The sequence below is a fragment of the Homo sapiens genome, chromosome 1 (assembly GCF_000001405.40).
Source record: "Homo sapiens chromosome 1, GRCh38.p14 Primary Assembly".
NCBI classification, from domain to species: Eukaryota; Metazoa; Chordata; class Mammalia; order Primates; family Hominidae; genus Homo; species Homo sapiens.
Genome location: NC_000001.11, coordinates 85802652 through 85825455, shown reverse-complemented (window position 1 = coordinate 85825455; position 22804 = coordinate 85802652). Strand labels below are relative to the sequence as shown.

The window sequence follows — 22804 nt, the reverse complement described above, 5'->3', positions numbered from 1 at the left end:
CCAGCCATCCCATTACTGGGTATATAACCAAAGGACTATAAATCATGCTGCTATAAAGACACATGCACAGGTACGTTTATTGCGGCGTTATTCACAATAGCAAAGACTTGGAACCAACCCAAATGTCCAACAATGATAGACTGGATTAAGAAAATGTGGCTCATATACACCATGGAATACTATGCAGCCATAAAAAATGATGAGTTCATGTCCTTTGTAGGGACATGGATGAAATTGGAAATCATCATTCTCAGTCAGCTATCGCAAGAACAAAAAACCAAACACCGCATATTCTCACTCATAGGTGGGAACTGAACAATGAGAACACATGGACACAGGAAGGGGAACTTCACACTCTGGGGACTGTTGTGGGGTGGGGGGAGGGGAGAGGGATAGCATTGGGGGATATACCTAATGCTAGATGACAAGTTAGTGAGTGCAGCACACCAGCATGGCACATGTATACATATGTAACTAACCTGCACATTGTGCACATGTACCCTAAAACTTCAAGTATAATAATAATAATAATAATAATAATAATAATAATAAAAGAATAAATATTGTTAGCCTATGTATGCAATCTCTTCTTCTAGCCCAGGAGATGGGACTGATAACTCTTTCCTAAGGCATTCTTTCTGTAACGTATGAAAATAGGGAGAAAGAAATCTGATTGAGTAGGAAAAGGGATAAAAGAATTTACACGCAGAATTATTCCTGCATAACTCTCATCTGACACGCTTCTGGGTTGTTGCTAGTTTCTATTTACACACTTGAAAAGGGAAATGTGGTAGGTCAGCATTCCTTCTTAGGAGAACTAAGGTGACGACAGATTGCCGAATGTCAGAGTCATGTGGTGTTTCTTGGTATTATAGTAATACCTCCCAGTAACTGCTCCCAGTCTTCAGCCCAGTAAATCTACCGTCCAAATAGTTGTGAAGTTAGTTTGTAAAAATGGAGACCATAGTACACTTTCGGAGGAGGAAGAGGTTGAAAAAGAAATGTATTCTCAAACTCTGTTCCTTTGGTTATTGACTATATTAGTTTCCTGAGGCTGCTATAACAAATTACCACAAAATGGGTGGCTTACAACAATAGATATGTAATTTTCTCAGTTCTAGAGACCAGAAATCCAAAATCAAGGGATCAACAGGGCCACGCTCCCTCTAGAGGCTCTAGGGCCACACTCCTGCCTCCTCCAGTTTCTAGTGGCTGTCAGCATTCCTATGACCGCATCTCTCCAATCTCTGCCTCTGTCTTCACCTGGCCTTCTCCTCTGTTGTCTGTGTCAGTCTACCTCTGTGTCACTTATGCTCTTTAGTGGATTTAGGGCCCACATGGATAATCCAGGATAATCTTATCTTGAGATCCTTAACTTAGTGACATCTGCAAAGACCCTTTTTCCAAACAAGATCACATTCACAGATTCTGGGGATTGGGACATAGACGAACATTTGGGAGGCCACCATTCAGCCTGCTACATTAATTCACATTAAAAAAAAAGAAAGAAAGAAAGAAAGAAAACCCTAACTTGTTTTCAGCTACCATAATATCCAACAGCTATTATGTTCTTTTCTATTTCCAAGAAGAATCATAATCTCTACGACATTTAAGTTGAGCTTTGCAACACTTTGCTACCATTTTAAGTGATAGTATCCTATTCTCTTAAGTCACATGTCTCTACTTACTCTAATAATGTAATCTTTTCTATTTCTAGGGCCATGTGGGTGTACCAGGACTAAGAGGTGCCACTGGACAACAAGGACCCCCAGTATGTTTTGAAAGCATTATTTCTAAAAATTAACATTAATATAACTTATTTGGTCTCTGCTTCATATGTGATTTTTATTTTGGTTTCTACTAAAGGGCGAACCAGGTGACCAGGGTGAACAAGGACTAAAAGGAGAGAGAGGATCTGAAGTAAGTTGAAATTATTTAAGGCAATTTGAGATGTATTGTTAGCAATTTTAGAAAGCAGGAGCACAAGGAGTTACTATTTATTGTAATTCAAATTATCATTTATCACTGTAGAATATGGATCACTATGGGCCTCTAAGTAGGGTGTTTTTCAATAATTGTGCTAATACAAAATTATTGATTGAGTCATTTGTTTTGACTATTATCCAAATTTTTCTTTTCCAGAAGCCTATTCTAGCTTTGTGAAAATTGCCTCAGTTGTCTCAAATTAATAGTATGTTCTTGAGGTTTCAAACAGAAATACCAGCAAACCTTAAAACTAGTATTATAAGGTAAAAAAAATCAGTCAAACCTATATAATTGTTGTAGAAAGCATTAAAGAAAAAATTATTAAATGATAATTGTTAAAGCATGGTAAGGAAGACTTTGTTCATGACTATTACAATAGGTATAGCGACCACTGCAATGGGATTTTGCAATGGGGAAGAGAGATTGGACTCAACACCAAATATAGCATGGGCAAGTAGGAATTTATAACAAAGGAGCAGATTGAGTATGAGTGAATGGAAAATTACTTAAGAGGAAACACCAGGGGCCAGGGGAATTTTGGTTAAACTGACCTAACAAGAATTTTGCTGAAGACAGGCCAAGGTGACCAGACATCAACTGTGGGATAATCAGACATCAACTGGGGGATGGTAGAGGATGAGGAACCCAGTTAGATATCAAATATCAAGGGTGATCAGATATCAAGGGTGAAGGTTCTTGCTAAACCGACTTGGCAGGGTTCGTTGCTAAAACTGGATTTTACAAGGAAGTACACGGAGGGCTTAGAAGGTTCAGGAGCCTGACTAAAGTTTGACCAAGCAAAGAATCATTGTCATAGGATAAGAGAGGAAAAAGTAGTTTGACTATGTAACACAGGCTCATAATTGGTTTGAAAGTTGTTTTTTCATAAGGCAAATCTTATCAAGCAAACTAAAAATCTGTTGGTTTACTGAATTTAGTCTTCTCTTTCCATGTGGCCAGATAGACATTGCCTCAACTTTAAATAGCAAGCAACTTTGTCATTTGCACCTTCAATTCATTGCTGCCCTGTTTTTCAGGCATTCTGACTTCACATGCTATTGATTTCAAATTAAATTCTTAAGAAAATGCACTACACTGTTAATAATAAATTAGATGAGAATGAATAAAAAGTAATGATTTGAGATTGTGTTTCTCCTGATTTGTTAAGCAGCCTTCACCCATATTTGTGTTTTCCACTTATGGGAGTAAGTAATAAAATGGGGTTGAATCAGATATGTTAAATAGGCATTCACTTACCTAGAACCCATTTTGTATAGTCTTGGCATCTATTCAGTAACTTTCTGTTAGGTTCCCCAATAAATAATATTAATAAATAAAAATATCATATCGAAGATAAGCCTAAACAAGCAGAGAAAGAAGATAGTTAAGTCATTCACTTAGAATTTTTAATACTCAAATTGGAAAAAGTCATAGAAAACATTGGGAACCTAGAATACTGCTACTGCTGTCATGCTACTTCCTTATATTTGCAGTAAGTGCCTAAGAATGCAAGTTCTGTCCAACATTTGATCCGAAAGTATCTACTTTTTTACAATTAATACTTTCATATTTGCAGGCTTTCTTTTTCCATCTTGAGAGGTCTCAGGAGTAAGACATTTTCTGATGCTTATTAGTATATGTTAAAATTAGGCTAATGAATATCAAATACTTTTACTAGTCAACTGCCTCTCTAGCCTACATGGTCAACAATCCCTGCGTGTTGGAGCTAAAAGGTGCTAAGAAGCCATAGTTTAAATTCTGTATAATCCAGGCAAGCTAGTTCTTCCCTGCTTTGGGTAATGCTGGCATACAACCCAAGGGCACATTAAAAAGCCTCTTAGAATTTAAAATAGTATTAATTGCTACAAGAATAATGACTGACTGTGTATTATTCACTAGGGACACCTTCAGTGGCCAGATGGGTCCTGTCCAATTGCTGTCATCTTGTTTTTGCAAAGCTTTAAATTTATTTTTTAGATTTGGAAATGACCCTTTAAAATTATCTGGATAACCCTCTTAATTTTCAAATGAAGAAATTAAAATCCCAGAGAGATTATGAGTTACCTAAAATCACAGAACTAATTAGCAACAGAAACAACACTAGAAACTTTATTTCCTAGCTCCTGTTATTATGAAGAAGCCTATTACTTGTAATCTTTTAAAAATTAAGTAAAATATGATTAATTTAACCTAACCAACCAATTCATTCATTGGGCATAAGACTGTGGGCAGCTATAAAGAAAAATTTAGAGCAAGTCAAAACCAATTGCAGAACCAACATTTTTTAAAAGACTTTTGTAATGCAAATGTGAGTGAACTGTCCTATAATGACTCTCAAAGACCAAGACTCAAGCCAAAATATTTGTTCTCCCAAAACAAAATTCCAGATTTCAATGAATTGAAATTTCTTGGTGAAAAAAGAAAGAATAATTTTTGCTTAACTCTCTAAATCTATTTTTGCTTTATAAAGCTGCCTTCTTAAAGAGTGTTAGAACTAGTGAAGTATCTAGATAACTGTCCTTCAGCCTCATTTAAACAAACAAAAAACAAGCGTTTGTATTAACGTTGCATATTAAAAAATATTTCCCTTATCAAAAGAATCAGACTGCTTTCTCTAGTAGTCTGTGAACCAGCACAGTCCCAATGAACAGAAGCCTTTCAAAATGGATCTGATTTCAAATGGGCCACTCTACCTATTTTTCAGTGCTGGCCAGGCAAAAAGAAAGCACAATTTTATATGTACTGTAAATCTAATCCATTGACTGCCTTTAACCCCATTCACTCAAATATCCTACATTTGATTTAGAGTTTTCCCCACTCACTCTTTTCAAATTTGGAGTTACAGATGGTAGGGAAGGCAGGTGGAAAATAAGTTTAGTCTTCAGTCATCATCTGTTCACACTAGTGTCCCCTGAAATGCACATCATCACTTTTGGCCCACAGTTGCTATTGTCTCACCGTATTGGCATCTACCTTGGCCCTCCTGCCAGAAGTATTTTGACCTATGCTGGCATGTGCAGCTATTTGCTCATCTCAGGTACAAGACCTCCTCAGGCCTCTCAGGGCCATCTTCTTCTGTTCTTGGCCACATATAAATAACATTCTCTGCTCCCCACACCATACAGGGTACTTGGAGGACTCAGAAAGACATTCTTAATCCCACTGTCCTAGACATGTCATGCAGAGATTTTTACTCTATGTACTTTATGTGGACTTCTCAATGAGGACTTTAGTCTCCCTAGGCATCATCTTTGTGCCCAGATCCCCAAACTTATCTGGGAGCATTAGTGTTTCTATCCACCCTAAGAAAGACTCAAGGGCAGGCCAGGCATGGTGGCTCATGCCTGTAATTCCAGCACTTTGGGAGGCCGAGGAGGGCAGATCACCTGAGGTCAGGAGTTCAAGACCAGCCTGGCCAACATGGTGAAACTCCGTCTCTACTAAAAATACAAAGATTAGCTGGGTGTGGTGGTGCATGCCTGTGATCCCAGCTACTTGGGAGGCTGAGGCAGGAGAATCACTTCAACCTGGCAGGTGGAGGTTGCCATGAGCCGAGATCATGACACTGTACTCCAACCTGGGTGACAGAGTGAGACTCTGTCTCAAAAAAAAAAAAAAAAAGGAAAAGAGAAAGACTCAAGGGTAGGATGAGGGGCAAGGGGCTCTTTTCAGAGATTGCCGTCAGTGTCTAACAGTCCCGCTTCTCTTTTTCTTCTTCTTTTCCCTTTCCCCAGCTTGAGGATCTTTATCCCCTTTCATGGGAAAAACTCTTTGTTACATTATTATTATTATTTTAAATCTGTTCTTTATAGCATAAATTTTATGACTTGAGTCCTTTATAACAAACCTTGGTTTTTAACTCAAAGATAGACTTTTAATATTTAAGAGTCAGGCTTTTGTGTTTAAAAAACATGATTTTGAAACTGAAAACATATTTTTTTCAAACTGTTACCCCCACCATGAGTTTCATTGGACTATTTTAAAATTCAAAAGCCAAGGAAAAGTCTATTTTGAAAAATCAAAAGTATAGAACAGATATATCTCGTTGCATAAAAAGAAATACTGTAAAGGAAAAAACACACTGATTAACATAATTGCATATTATGATTCATATGCTATTTAATAAGTATTTCAAGATGACTGAAATCACAACTTTTTTCCACTATTTAAAATAGTCTTTGTTTATTTTGCTTTTTTATTGTGTTAGGAAAAACATATTTTACTTATAGGGATCATATGCTCTAGAAATGTGTATACTTTAATTAAACCCAGGTCACTAACTATCCCATTTTCTGGTTTCCTCATCTTTAGAAACATTTTGCATTAGTGACTTCTAAGACAAGTACAATAGTTTTCAAAGTTGGAAGTACAACCCATGATCCTTATATCTCCCCATTGTCAAATCCTGCAAAAGTTGGATTTTTATCTCTTAGAGAAGATGCTCTTTTTCTCTGTGACAACATATACTATTTCTTCATAAAATGTTTAAGCTGGTTGTCAAAAAAGTAACATCTTTTGAAGTTGTTTCTTTGTTGTTATTATTAAACTGAATCTTTAGCACAATTTGTCTTCAAAATTGAATGATTTAACATCCCATTTTAGTGGGATTATCCTGTTTGTGAGAACTTCTGATGATTTCTGAGAAATGTGTCTGGTAATGACAACATGATTCCTTTTCTTATTTGTGAACCAAGTCACCTTTTCCACATTTTCTTCTTTAAATACTTTTAGAATGTCATCAGAACAATGGCATGATTTGCAAGAGCAAAGTTCCTAACTATCCTGGCAGACCCATTACTGCTGAATCAATTATGATTTAAAACATCTCACACATGGAAAAACAAACAGTTCCGTGGGAAATAAATATCTTTTCCTTGAATCACAAGTATGCTCTTCTCTATTCTTCCAGAAAAGCACATTTTAGGCTATCAGTTCATGTTCTTCTTACCACACTGTAAGTGCCTTGTAAGGAGGAACTTTGCCTTTGCCTTCCAAGCGCATGACAGAGTCCCTGATACATGATACTCAATAAATGTTTACTGAATTAAGTAAATATGTAGCATTTTCAAAAGGAGATCAAGGCCCTTCCTGAAAGTAGGGACATTTATTAAATAATCTATTCAGGTCCCTTTTAGAAGTACAGTTTAAATTCTTAAATCATATAATTGAGAGCTACAAGGAAATTACTAGATGATCTTGTCAAAGTTTCTCATTTTCAGATGAAGAAGCTGACTCCCAGGAAAATTAAATGGCAATCCTAATGATATACAACTAGTTCGTGCTAGTTCTTGCTGCAGCGTCCAGGTCTCAGTGTCCTTTTCTATGGCTTCAGTTTAAGTAAGATTATTACAGTCAATTGACAACTGTGCTTTCCATCTTTAGGGTAATAAGGGGAAAAAAGGAGCTCCTGGTCCTTCTGGGAAACCTGGGATTCCTGTAAGTAACAGGCCTCTTTCATCTTTCTTGCTTTTCTAAATGGAACTGGCAACTTTAGCAAGCAGAAAAGTTTGGGGCCAATTGTGTCATCATGTTGGATAAATCAGATTGTCTTTTAAAAAAATTAAACCCATGCTGGAACACAGAGGGAACAAAATATGACCATTAACTCAAAACCAAACTTGCTGTTTAAATATAAGTCCCTGCAGTTGAAGGATGCTATTTTCCTGGTTATGAAGCCCTCCCGGTGGACTCATGCTTCTGACGGTGAACCACTGAAAAACAGAGAACTTAGAATCGTAACAAAATGAATGGTGACAAAGGCCAGAGATATTCAAGCATAATTAAAATGACATGAGCTAGATTTTAGAGGACTCAGCCTCTCATTCTCTAGACAAATAAAAAGTCTTAGGAAAAAAAATTTAATCTTTTCATCACAAAGATTAACTTTTACCTCACCATCAGTTTCCTCTCCTGGCCAGGCAGATAAGTGTTGACTGGCTCTTTAGCAAAGACTTTACTGGTGTCCCCTAGCCAAGGATTAGATGCCTGCTTTGGGTGACTTGTATTGGCTTGAAAAAAAAATAGAGAAAATGAATGTAAATTATAAGCACATTCAGATCAGAGATCCTTGCATATGAAATTTAGTTGCCCAAGTGTAGAAACAAAATGTTCAGACCTTACTTCAGTCATATAATTATCTGATTCAAAGTGGCAGCTGAATAGCCATAATTTATTTCTTGGGAAAATAACACAATACAAGGTTTGGCAGATGGGAAATGATAACCTCTATCCTAAGCTGACAGGTGCATATAGCTGATCTTTTCTCCACAATTATATAAAATATTGGTTGACACAATAAGAAACACCAGAGAATTACACTAAGGCGCAAAAGTTACACAGTAAATTGCTGATCAGCTTGGCATTTTTGTTTGGGGAACTTTTAAAGGCTTTTAAACTTTTAAAGTTATCTGTTGAATCCAAATAGTAAATCATTAAGGAATCCAGGAAACAGGAAAATTTGTCCTAGAACAAAATATAAAAATGTAAACTTCTCCAGCTCAATAAATAAAAAAGTATTTGTCATCTTAACATCTTTTCAGCATCTCTACAATCCAAATAATTTTTAATTATCAAGGGACTTCAAGGCCTACTTGGGCCAAAAGGCATACAAGGATACCATGGAGCAGATGGCATTTCAGGAAACCCTGGAAAAATTGGGCCACCAGGAAAACAGGGACTTCCTGTGAGTAGTACGGATATCTCTTTGCTCATTATTTCCTATGCATGTGTCTCCTTGCTAGACCATAGATATTTTGGCTATCTATTTTAGCTTTGGCATTGGCTCAGATTAAGCCAGTTCATTTCTCTAATAGCTATTATGCAGTTGTATTTAGGATTTCCAGGAACTGTCAATAGGTACATTCTCTTCAGTATTTTATATCTAATAACTCATAGTGTTAATAATTCATGCCATTTTAAAAATATAAAATCTGTTAAAGAAGACCTATAAAGAAGCAAAAGCTTAAGGACTACACAACCTGGCTGTACTTTGAGTTCATCAAATGTTTTAAGCCACCTTTGGAACATTTAGGTCTTGGCAGTAACTCAAGGTAGGTTCTGTGAAAAATCATTTTCCCTTTACTTTTATAGCCTCAGTATTTTACAAGAATTGTGTGAATATTTTCTCTGTGTTCATCTAATTCATTCATTGCAATAGGTCCATCAGCTGTCTCTCTTCTGATGTGTAATTCTTCATGCTATATATTAACTACATTTTAACTACCAGAAGAACTTTTGGTAGAATAGCAAATCCATGTCTATAATATGTGTCTACCCCTGTGAGGACAATCACAGCTAGCTCGAACTAATCCCCTAAGGAGCATTGCTGTGTTAGTAGCTCAGTGTTGGCCTCTACTTTTGGCAGGTTTGGCAGTCACCAGGGGTAGTAGCCAAATCAGCCTTGGTGAGGAAAAGTCCACATTATTGGATTTGTGCCAGTGGGCCCATTGAGCAACCACCGTGATAGTTATGGGAAAAAAGTAATGCAATAATGTAGATTCATTCTTATTTTTATGCAGATTTCTATCTTACTTATTTGATCAGAAATTTAAAAATCACATTTTTGTCTTTGCTTAACCATTTTCCCGCTTTCCTTCCCTAATGTCATCCTAATTGAGACATTTTTACCACAGGTTGTTTTTACTTTAAACATTAGACGAATTAACCACACACTTTTAAGAATACAGTAAAACTTACCCTTTTAAATTTCTGCTATTTGGATATGGTTACCTATTGATTTGTTGCTCTTTTCTTAGGTAATAAGTCAATTCTAATGTTTATTCAAATCTAGTATGGTGCTATACCTAAACTTAAATACAAATTAATATTCTTTTTCACTACAATGAGTTATCTCATTTGTTTAAAAAAATGAAATGATAACTTAACCAATATAATTATGTCACTAATAAATATCTAGTCAGATTCTCTGAAAATATGAAGGCTGTTAAGAAGTCCTAACATGGTTTCTATTTGTTTTGGAAGAAACATATCAGAGCCTCATGGCATCAGGTTACGGCCTACGAAACTTTAACAGCCAGGCCAAAGTTTTTAATTAAAATAAATATTGTATAGACTTTTGCTAGTAGTATCAGTCTGGTTAAAAGAGACTCATTTGAGATCCCAGTCTTAAAGGGAGCTCATGCACTGGGCTTCCATCTTCATGCTAATCTCCGGACTCACCATGTGATAGTCTTATAATGAGATTGTGAAATTTTAAAAATACAACAGTAAAACCCTTTGAATTGGTTTGAGAGTCTGTATTTTTGTGGATTAAGTTTTACTGGGAAATATTGTAGTGAATCTTTTCCTGTTGCTTTGAATAAGATTTTTGAGAATTCAAACAAGGAAAACCACATGTGAAAATACGTCATATTTGTTGCTGCTATACACAGGTATAATCATGGAGGTGGGGTGGATGGACCCAATAGTTTATAAGGCTAAATAGTGAATTGTAAAAGTACTAGTAGTAGCAAATGAATTTATTTAATAATATATTAGTAGTAATTAACTTATTAATAGGACCAGGAAGTCATTTGTTCTCAGGCTAAAATACTACTAATCCAGATATTAGTTCCCTATGTGGATAATAGAAACCAGTATCCTATATATGAGTTTAAGAACAATTTCAGATGTTCAGCTTATGAGATACTCGTCAGGACATTAGTGACATATCAAAGTCATTAATTACTTTTTACTCAAGTCATTTACTGGTTCATTATGACAAACAACTTCTTTCTAGCAATATGTAATACCTAGAGATCCCTCAGGAAGGACAGAAAATTTTAAGGAATGAAAACATTGATATGGATTATAAAATTATGGACCATTTTCTCTTGAGATCAGATATTATGGAAATCTGAATTGCCTGCTTACACATTTTGTCTGTGCTTTCTGGACCTGCTAGGGCCCAGTTTCAATATATGCCATTTTTATTTAGGAAAATTGCAATGTGGCACTGATTATCTGTTGCTTGTTTCTAGCAAGAAAATAGACGTTTTCTAACAACTCTACATTTTTCTTCAATATTGAGGTAATATTTAAAGGATAGTAATTTAATGGCTAAGAGAAAGCCAATACAAAAAATACTGAGTTAACACAAATAAAATGTTGATTCCGTTCAATGCCACTCTAAACCTTATTCCTAGAATCTGTCATGCTAGTTTTATTTTCTGTGTGGGCAAAGGCTCATGCCTGAAATCGAAACACTGGCTCTATCTAGAATACACAAGAATGAAGGGGTCTTAAGGCCAGATGATGAGGCTATTTGCATTCTATAACCCAATTAGGACTTTGGGATATCAGCCAAGTCTGACTGGTTTTAAACAAAAATCTTCTCTGGCTAACCTAAGCAGAAAACAAATTATAAGATAGTGACTGGGTTGCTTACAGAATCAGCTAAAAAGCTCAAAATCCAGGGTCAGAAAACAGTCTGAAATTAAGGATTTCTTGCAACAGAACACCCCAAGCAAAGAGTAGTCTAGTTAGGGTGCCACCAATGACATTGGCACCAGTCAACATGGCCACCATTGGACTCTCAGTGCCAATGCTACTGCACTATGAATAATTTCTAAACTGTCATGCATCTTCATGCCACTTTTTCAAGATTCAAAGACCTGAATGAGGCCGGGCGCGGTGGCTCACGCCTGTAATCCCAGCACTTTGGGAGGCCGAGGCGGGCGGATCACGAGGTCAGGAGATCGAGACCATCCCGGCTAAAACGGTGAAACCCCGTCTCTACTAAAAATACAAAAAAATTAGCCGGGCGTAGTGGCGGGCGCCTGTCGTCCCAGCTACTTGGGAGGCTGAGGCAGGAGAATGGCGTGAACCCGGGAGGCGGAGCTTGCAGTGAGCCGAGATCCCGCCACTGCACTCCAGCCTGGGCGACAGAGCGAGACTCCGTCTCAAAAAAAAAAAAAAAAAAAAAAAAAAAAAAAAAAAAGACCTGAATGAGATTTTCTAGTAATTTGACCTAAGTCACCTGCCAGAGTCCTGGATGCCAAAGGAGGCAAAAAAAAAGGTCTTTCAGCTTTGGCTTCTTTTTTTTTTTTCTTTAAGGTTTTCCACTCCCTCTGTCTTTTACCTTAGGTACACAGTTGTTGGGATAATCATATTAATGAATTTATGGCATATTGTCATCCTTCAGTTTTTGCATGGACCTACTCTTAGGCTGACTTCTTTTTATCCCCACTCTCATTCCCCTCCCCCTAAAATAGCCACTATTTTATATGTTTTAATGTATATTCTTATCTGTATGCTGTCCCAAAAATATACTACAGGTTTTTATGCATATCTTTAATTATGGAAATGATATTAGACCATGCATCTTTTTTTTTTCACTTAGCACTGGGATTTAAAGATACATTCATATTGCTATAGGTATATCAGCTCTCTCTCTTCTGACATATAATTCGTGCTGTGTATCAACTACATTTTAACTACCAGAAGAACTTTTGGTAGAATAGCAAATCTATGTCTAGAATAGGTATCTACCCCTGTGAGAACAATTGCAGCTATTATAGCTCCAACTTATCTCCCAGGGAGCATTGCCTTGTTGGGAGCTCAATGTTGGCCTCTACGTTTGGCAGGTTTGGCAGTCACCAGGGGTGGTAGCCAGATCAACCTTGGTGAAGAAAAGTCCATATTGTTGGATTTGTGTTAGTGGGCCCATTGAGCAACCACTATGATTAGTATGGAAAAATGTTGACTGATATCCACTAAAGGTCCATCTTGTTTACCTGATTATTGAGAACCTACTCTATAGAGGATGCTGTCTGTTAAGTATCTACATGGAATATAATTAACTCTACATTGATTTCATTTTGAGAAGTTCATCTAAATTTATCTTCCTCGGACCTTCTTATCATTAGCCTTTCAAACCCATTATTTCCAAGTGCCTGACCAGCTGGCCAAACTCTTAGCCAGTGCTCTCTGAATTAATGTAGATCCGTATCTCAAGCCATCTCTCCTTCTAACTATATGTATTGCCTCAAGTTCTACCTACTGGAAAGAGTTCACTTTACTAACATCTTTCAAGCTCTAATGCAGCCTGAAACTGTACACTTCTGGCTGATGTTGACAATCAATGCAGATCTATCCAAAAATCAGGCCTGAGGTTTTTCCTCCTCCATTAACTGGTAAAGGGAATTCTCTAGGAAAGCTGAAGGAGCAATGTCAAAGCAATGGGAACGGGTGTCATGGAAATCTGAATTGCTTGCTTACACATTTTGTCTGTGCTTTCCAGACGTGCTAGGGCCCAGTTTCAATACATGCCATTTTGATTTAAGAATAGAGTGCTGCGGTATACATTCAATTTTATGGTTCAGTGAATTCGATTATTACCGAGTTCATAATGGGCAAAACAGAGAACGAGAGCGTAGCCATTTGACATTCCAGGTTCAGTCATTCAGTTTCAATCGGAGCAAGCTCATAGCTGTATTCCAAATGGTAAATTGCATTTGACAGAGAGGGCATGGCCTGTCTCCAAAATCTTACAGATATAAGCAGGGTTTCTCTTATGGGAGATTACCAAAGGGCTCATATGGCATCTCTACCAGCTACAGAGCCTTCTGATATAATTAGAGTTTCTCAGTCATGAGGTCCAAATATTAATAGCATTGTAACTTACACCCTGAATCTGCTGCAGAGCCTTTTCTTACTTCAGGGTCCACTCAAAACTGGCAACCTGGCAAAATACTTGAATAGACATTTCTCCAAAGAAGATTTACAAATGACCAGTAATCCCATGGAAGGATATATAACATCACTACCATTAGGGAAATGCAAATCAAAAGCAAAATGAGATATCACGTCACACATGTTAGGATGCTATTATAAAACAAACATAAACAAACAAACAAAAACAGAAAATAACAAGTGTTAGCAAGATGGTGGAGAAATTAGAACACAAGCACATTGCTGTTGGGAAGGTAAATGACACAATACTGTAAAAACCAGTATGGTAGTTCCTCAGAAAATTAAACATTGAATTACCATATAATCCAGCAAGTCCACTTCTGGGTATATATATATGCAAAAGAACTGACGGCAGGAATGTAAAAGATTTTTTTAAATAAATTTTATTGTATAAATTTAAGATATACAATAAGAAGTTATGGGATACATATAGATAGTAAAAAGATGACTAGAGTGAAGCAAATTAATGTATTCATCATTAAAGGTATTTTTACACCAATGTTCGTAGCAGCATTATGCATAATAGTTAGTAGAAACAACCCAAATGTCTATCAGTGATTGAATGAATAAACAAAATGTGACATTGGAATATTTTTGGAATATATTGGAATAATTGACAATGGAATGTTTTTCAGCCTTAAAAAGGAATGAAAGTCTGACACACTATAACCTGGATGAGACTTGAAGGACATTATGCTAAATGTAACAAACCAGACGCAAAAGGATGAATATTGTGATCTCACTTATATGAAAGACCTATGATACTGGCAAACCCCAAAACTGTGGCTCAGCCAGGGAGGGTTCTTGTCTTCCAGGAAGACAAGAAATAATTCAGGAGGGAGCTGACAGAGTAAAGTGAAGGCAAAGAGTATTAGGGTGTTCTTGCATTGCTATAAAGAAATACCTGAGACTGGGTGATTTATAAAGAACAGAGGTTTAATTGGCTTACAGTTCTTCAGGCTTTACAGGAAGCATGGTGCTGGAACCTATTCAGCTTTTAAGGAGACTAGAAGGTGAAGTGGGGACAGACACATCACACGGTGAAAGCAGTAACAAGCAAGAGAGACAAAGAGTGAGAGTAGAGGGGGTGTTGCCATGTACATTTAAATAACCACATCTTGTGAGAACTCATTATCAGAAAGACAGCACCAAGCCATGAGGGACTCACCCCCATGATCCAAACAACTCCCCCAGCCCCCACCTCCTGCACTGGGGATTACAATTCAACATGAGATTTGGGCAGGGACAAATATCCAAACTATGTCACAAAGCAAGTTTATCAGAGCAACAGAGTATAGGAAAATGGCTGCTCCATAGATAGAGCAGGGCTACCCCATAGGCAGAGTAGCCCTCATAGACTGCTGGCTAGCTATATTTATAGCTACTACTTAATTATATGCTAAATAAGGGGCAGGTTATTTGTGAATTTTCTAGAAAAGGGATGGGGCATTCCAGGAACCAAGGAAGGGTTCCCCTCCCCTCTTAAACCATATAGGGTAACTTCCAACCATTGCCATGACATTTTTAAACTGTCATGGTGCTGGTGGGAGTGTCTTTTAGCATGCTAATATATTATACTTAGTGTATAATGAGCACTGAGGGCAACTAGAGGTCACTTTTTTCACCATTTTGGTTTTAGCTGTATTTGGTCAGTTTCTTTACTGCACCCTATTTTAGCCAGATCCTGTTTTGATCAGCAGGGGTCATAGCCAGTTCTTGGAAAACAAGTGCTGCTGACCTCCTTCCTCACCTAGGATAATCAAATTCAGAGAGATAGAAAGTAGAATGGGGCTGCCAGGGTTTGGTGGAAGGGGATAATGGAGAGTTATTGTTTAATGAGTATAGAGTTTCAGTTAAAGAAGATAAAAATTCTGTAGATAAATGGTAGTGACAGTTGTACAATAATGTAAATGTACTAATGCCACTGAAATGCATACCTAAAAATGGTTAAAATGATTATATATATATAATATTATATACTATATATAATATTATATACTATATATATGTGTGTGTGTATATATATATATCTCCATAATAAAAACAAAAAAAACAGCAACCTTACAGGTTACTAAGAAAATGGATTGGAGCAGAACACCCAAATCTGATATAAGTTGACTCCAAAGTCCACAGAGGCTCACCAGAACTGTGCCCCTTTTATTGTGATGGTCAGTCAGTGCAAAGTACAACAATTTATCTCTACTTTGGAGGAGGTATCCTGATGTGCCCCCAAACTATTATTCCTGGAACTTCACCCATGAAACTGCCTTTTCAAAATTATGACAGTCAGAGAAATCTGACATAATTGACTCCATCTTACTTCTGACCTCCAAGTTGTCCTTGATCATTCCTGGGCAAAGGCCAAGCTAACTTTGGGAAGAATTTAGTTTATAGTTTAACTTGAAAGCAAGAATGACAATAGTCCCACCTTAAAATTAACCCCTTCCTTGCTCAGGGAATGAAAACTGCCTTGTAAGACTAATTAAAGCCCACAAGAATAGGATTATGGGAGAGACCTGAACTCTACTAACATGTAGGTTTAGTTTCTCTAATTCCTTGCTGCTCAGGAGTCATGTGGCCAAGATTACAAGATAGGTATAGTTTCTATAATCCCTACTGCTCAGGAGTTATATGGCCAGAGGTCACAAGATTTGCGACTTGCCCAGTTGCTTCTATAGATAACATCACTATTGTAGAACATAAGATTGGGTTTTTTGAGATACCTTTCTGACTGACTCCACCAGACTCATGAATCATGACTCAACTGATCCTGTGGCCCCATCCAGAGGGAGACTCAGCACACAAGGACAGTTTTCCACACCCCTGTGATTTCATCCCCAACCAATCAGCAGCACTCATTCCTTAGCTGCCTGCCCACCAAATTGTCCATAAAAACCCTAGCCTTTAAGCCTTCAGGGAGACTGATTTGAATGATAACTCCAGTTCTCCCATGTGGGCCAGCCTTGCATCAATTAAACTCTACTGCAATGCTGCAGTCTCAGTGAATTTATTTTTGTCTGTGCAACGGGCAGGGAGAACCCATTGGGTGATTACACCCATTTATCAAGCCCCTGAAATTTTAAATTCTATCCTCTGGTACACCTTTAGGGTGCTTGTTCTTTTCTACTCTCCAAGTCCAGTTTAATGGACCTGAATGATATTTTGTGAGATATCCAGAATATAAAGATATCTGCTCAGTCTGTTTTATGACAGAGAAGCAAATTGAGTTGACATAGCACTGAGCTAAGACAGGGAAGGGATACTGCTTTTCCTGCCACATGAAGGCAAGAAAACTGCTTCCAATTATCTTTACTGATAAGAATGTGGATAGGAAATATTTTTGCTAGGTCAGTAGCTGTTGTTGCCAGTGGCTATATTGTTTAGTAAAGATACCATATCAGAACCTGCAGCTGTAATTGGCATCATCCCCCAACCCGTTAAGTTTGTAATACACTACCACTTTCTTCAGGTTTATTTGTTGTTTGCTCTAGCCAAACACATGAGTAAAACAGATAGGGAATATAGTAGGAATCACTACCCCTGTATCTTTCAGGCCTTTATGGCAATAATATGTACAATTTTCCACAGGGATGGGAGTAATATGTACAGTTTTTCACAAGGATGTGTTATTACATTAGATTTATATTGGTGAGGAGGGGACAGGAAGGGATAGTTGTAGGAACATTCATTTGTGTCTTCCCATCTTACCATAGTAGTAGCCTTTATAGTTAGGAAGTTTCACTATGCTCTGAGATTGGAGGGGAGAAAATAAAAACTGAGCTCACAGTCTTTATTGGACCCACTTGGAAATGGAATTGGATGAAAACTCCATTTATCACTTGACCCTCGTAAGCTTCCACTCTGACCACAGTGTTTATTTCCAGGGATTATCATCAGGTTATAACTAGTATCTTAACAGCTCTAGAAAGACTTGGAATTTGTCTTTTCCCAGTGTTCAGTCACCTAGTAAATGACCATAGGTCTCTCTCAAGAATACTTAGGGGAGGAGTTGTAGTATACATCTCTGACCACATTGCAGTGTTTTTTCTCAAAGAGAACCTACCTCCTTCTCAATCAAGGGATTCTGATCTAGGAACTGGCTTGAGTCTGAGAACTGAGTGAGAGTACATGAATCCCAAGCACAGTGACTTAAGTAAGATTTATATCTATAAGACCTACAATTTTTCCACCTGTATATTAATATATTCTAGTACACTATGGTATATTCAATTCCTATGTCTCCTATGTTCAATTAACCATCACCACAGATCTGTGCAAAACAGTCTGATTCCACTCCATCATTGTAGCTTATTGTGATAATTGCTCCTACCTTTTCTCTGATAGCAAAGCACTATGACCTGGATTCTACCACTCAGGGATTCCAGTGTTCCCATTTATATCAGAGAACCTATTTCCAATGATGTTTCTTAACTCTGTGGTAAAGAATGCTCTTTGAGCCCTTCCAGGGGCTGTGGTTAGAGGGTAGCTGATTCGATTGCAATAATAGAGTTATCTCCACATTTTCATCTTCCTGGGCCTTTGAACCCCTTTCTATTGTGAGGGAAGTTATAGCATTTCAACCTCATTGACTGTAGGCCACAATCGAGTCCAGGCTTCAAATTGCCAATCTACTGGACTATTAATGGTGTTCCCAGGCACTTGAGTAGGGGCTGCCTCCACAAGCCAGGAAGGTTAAGCAGGATTAGAGGTTCAGAGTTCTTAGTCTTGCCCATGTCTGTTCAAATGTCCCCATTTCTTGTCTTGGAGTTCTTCTCTTTCTCCACCAGTGCTCTTATCTTAGCATAGAATCTGGCTAGTTGAAGATGAAGATGTATTAATATGCAAATTCTGCAAGCCTTACAGTGGGTTGGGTTCTCAGTCATATCTGCCTTGTGACTACAGGGGACTTCATTCCCATTCATACCCCTTTGGTAAGGCACTGGCCAACAGCTAGAGTAAAGGAGCCTGCTGGGTCGTAGAGCAGGGTGGAGACTGGATCTCAAAAGGCAAACAGATAAAATCCAGCCAACTTGTTTAACAGTTCTCATTTATGCATGAGTCAATATCAGCAGTCCATTCCAGTATTAGCAAACCACATTTGGTGAACAAATCAGCCTGTTTTTGTATGGCCCATGAGCTAAAAATGGTTTTTACATTTTTTTAGTGGTAGAAAGTAGAAATAAGAAGAATGTTTTGTGAAAAACATATGAAATTTGAATTTTGGTATTCATAAATTAATTTATTGGAACACAGCCACAGTAATTTATTTACATATGGCTGCTTTTGCACTACAACAGCAGAACTGAATAATTCACACAGAGACCATATGGCCTGCAAAGTCTAACAGAGTTACTGTCTGGCCCTTTTACAGAAAACATTGGCTGACCTCTGGTCTATTTGTATCATCACATTATTCTTATTACTATGGCTCTGTAGTATGTTCTTATATGTAGTGGGCAAGTCTCCCTTATTTAAATTCTTTTCTTAAGGTTGATTAGCTAGTTACAGACTTTTATTCCTCCACATAATTTGAGATTCAGTTTGTTGAGTTTCTCTAAAAATAAAACAAAGGTTGAATTGTTATTAGATTTGTCTTGAATTTATAGATTTAGTTGGAGAAAATTTGTATCTTATCATTTTAGTTATTTAATATAAAAGGAGGAAATATATATTTCTATCATTTTCTTTTTTTTTTTTTTTTTTGAGACGGAGTCTCGCTCTGTCGCCCAACCTGGAGTGCAGTGGCGCGATCTCCGCTCACTGCAAGCTCCGCCCCCTTGGTTCATGCCATTCTCCTGCTCCAGCCTCCAGAGTAGCTGGGACTACAGGTGCCCGCCACCACGCTCAGCTAATTTTTTTGTATTTTTAATAGAGACGGGGTTTCACTATGTTCGCCAGGATGGTCTCGATCTCCTGACCTCGTGATCCGCCCACCTCGGCCTCCCAAAGTGCTGGGATTACAGGCGTGAGCCACCGCGCCCGGCCTATTTCTATCATTTTCTAATAGAATTTCTTCATAATAGTCATGGCAAAATTCATACAATGCTTAGAACTTGCCCACGTACCATAAGTGTTTTAATGTATTAACAAATTTAATCCTTACAACCCCATGAGGTAGGCATAATTATATTTCTTATTTTGTAGATGCAGAAATTGAGGCACTGAGAAATTAAGTAATTTCTACAGTCACATAACGACAAAGGCAGTCTAAAACTCCATATTTTTTGTCTTTATAAATCTGCAATATTGCCACTCAGTAAAGGCTTTTTATATTCTTATTTTTATTCTATTTACTAGGTAGTTATTACTGATTTAAAGAAGCACTACTGATTTGTATCAGTTATAGTCTAATATGGCTGAATTTTTTATTTCAAATAATTTGCTGTTGTGATTCTATTGGGCTTTTAGGTAGATAATATCATCTTCAAATAATGGCAGATTTATTTCCTTCCTTACATTATCTCTTTCCTTAGATTCATTTATTTTTCTTTCCATGTATTTCTTTCTTTCCATTTCACTTTCCATGCAAGTGACCTTGAATATTATTTTAAACAATAGCAGCAATCGTAGAAATTCTTCTACTGCTCCAGATGTTACAGGGAATACATCTAAAATTTCTTCATTAAGAATATTTGCCACCCAGGTGCAGTGGCTCATGCCTGTAATCCCCAGCTCTTTGGGAGACCAAGGCAAGAGGACCTCTTGAGGCCAGGACTTCAACACCAACCTGGGCGATATAGCAAGACCCTGTCTCTACAGAAAATTTAAAAATTGTCTGGGTGTTGTAGCATGTGCCTATAGCTACTCAAGAGATTGAAGAAGTAGGATTGCTTGATATGAGGAGTTAGAGGCTACAGTGAAGTATCATCATGCCACTGCACTCCAGACTGGGTGACAAAACAAAATCCTAAAAAAAAAAAAAAGAGTATTTGCCATCTGAAATCTGTATTTCCTTTGCCCTGTTGATATGGTTTGGCTCTGTGTTCCCACCCAAATCTCATCTTGTAGCTTCCATAATTCCCACATGTTGTTGGAGGGACCTGGTGGGAGATGACTGAATTGTGGGAGTGGGTCTTTCTCATGCTGTTCTCGTGATAGTGAATGGGTCTCATGAGATCTGATGGCTTTAAAAACGGGAGTTGCCCTGCACAAGCTCTCTTTTTGCCTGCTGCCATCCATGCAAGGTGTGACTTGCTCCTCCTTGCCTTCCACCATAATTGTGAGGCCTCCCCAGCCATGTGGAACTGTAATAAACCTCTTTCTTTTGTAAATTGCCCAGTCTCAGGTGTGTTTATCAGCAGCGTGAAAATGGACTAATGCACCTGTACTATCCTTTTGGGGTTTATTTCTCCTTCTTTCCTCATTTCCATTGGATGACTAAAGTTTCTTCTGCTGGCTTAAAAATTACTTCTTTTGTTGTTCCTCTTGTGCAGTTCTGCTGAACATAATAACCAAGTGTGTATTTATTTAAATCTATTGATTTGTTGAACGTATCACTACCTGTATCTTCCCTCTAACAAAACACTTTCACATATTCTCATATCCCTTTGTTTTTATAGACCACTCCTCTCCTTCATCATTTTTGTATTTTGCCTCAATTTTTCACTTTTAGTCTTTATTCATTTACTTTCTCCTTTTATTTCTGTTATTTCTAGACTCCTTTTTAAATAGTAAACTTAATTAAGCTATTTGATAACCAATACTTTCAATATTCTTTGCAGAATCTCCTGAATTTTTTCTATTATTATTTCAATGCTTTCTCCAAAAATTATTTTTAATGTAGGTCTTTGTGAGGCAAACATTCTGATGTCTTATATGCCCACAGATATATGTATTACCTTCTCATATTTATATGACATATTCAATATTGTACTGGAAATTCTAGTCAATTCAATGAGGTTGTAGCCAATTCAATGAGGTTCTAGCCAGTGTAATAACAAGAAATAAAAGATGTCTAGATTGGAATAGAAGAAGTAAAACTGTCTTTATTTGCAGAAATCATGATTGTCTAGTAGAATATCCAAAATCTACGGAAAACTGAGTTTAGCAAAGTTGCAAGATTAATATACAAAATTAATTGTATTTCTATGTACTAGCAATTAACAATCAGAAATGGAAAATTTTAAAGCAGTATTATTTCAGTAGTATCAGAATGTGAAATATTAGGGATAATTCTCACCAAAAAAAAAAAGTGCAAACCTATATCCTGAAAACTATAAAACATTGCTGAGGGAAATTACAGAAGTCCTAAATACATGGTATATATACTATGTCTCTGGATCATAAGACTCTATATTGTTGTTTTTGTTTTGTTTTGTTTTGTTTGTTTATGGTTTTTTTTTTTTTTTTGAGATGGAGTCTTGCTCTGTCACCTAGGCTGGAGTGCAGTGTCATGATCTCAGCTCACTGCAACCTCCACCTCCCGAGTTCAAGTGATTCTCCTGCCTCAGCTTCCTGAGTAGCTGGGATTACAGGTGCATGCCACCATATCTAACTAAAATTTTTAGTAGAGATGGGGTTTCACAATGGTGTCAAACTCCTGACCTGGTGATCCACCCATCTCAGCCTCCCAAAGTGCTGGGATTACAGGCATGAGCCACTGCACCCAGCCTCTATATTGTTAAGATGTCAATTATCTTATATATTGGTAGTATCTAAAAATGTTTAACATATTTCTAACATATAACCCAGCCATTCTATTCCTAGCCAAGAGAAATGAAAGCATATATCCACACAAAAACTTGCACATGAATGGCCATAGCAGCTTTCTTTGTAATAGCCCAAAACTAGGAATGAACCAAATGTCCATCAAAAAGTGAATGGCTAAATAAATTCTAGTACATGTATACAATGAAATATTAGTCTCAGTGAAAAAGAATTATATACATGCTTCAACATGAATGAATCTCAAAGTGGGGAAAAAAACAGACAAAAAGATACATGCTGTTTGGTTCCACTTGTATAAAATTGTAGAGATTTCAAAATAATCTGTAATGATAAAAAGCTAATCGGGTTTTCAGGAGATAGAAGTGCATGTGGGGAGGTGTGGAAAGGAGGGTTTACAAAGGAATAGGAAAAACTTCTAGGGGTAGTGGATATGTTATCTTGATAGTGGTGATGGTTTAAT

General features: G+C 37.3%; 1 protein-coding gene across 20 annotated transcripts in view; it reads left to right on the top strand.

The window, feature by feature from the left end:
- COL24A1 (collagen type XXIV alpha 1 chain) overlaps window positions 1–22804 on the top strand; it is a 427752-nt gene that overhangs the window by 331529 nt on the left and 73419 nt on the right. For 19 of the 20 annotated variants that reach the window (NR_146340.2, NR_146341.2, NR_146342.2 and 16 more), the window contains 4 exons: window positions 1718–1771; window positions 1867–1920; window positions 7369–7422; window positions 8561–8668. Coding sequence is in view for 13 of the 20 variants with exons in the window: in XM_047417004.1 (XP_047272960.1) it covers window positions 1718–1771; window positions 1867–1920; window positions 7369–7422; window positions 8561–8668 (270 nt within the window). In the remaining 7 variants the exon portion in view is untranslated. Of the gene's footprint in view, window positions 1–1717; window positions 1773–1866; window positions 1921–7368; window positions 7423–8560; window positions 8669–22804 lie in introns of those variants that run through there. The other variant, XM_047417022.1, reaches the window with a different exon arrangement.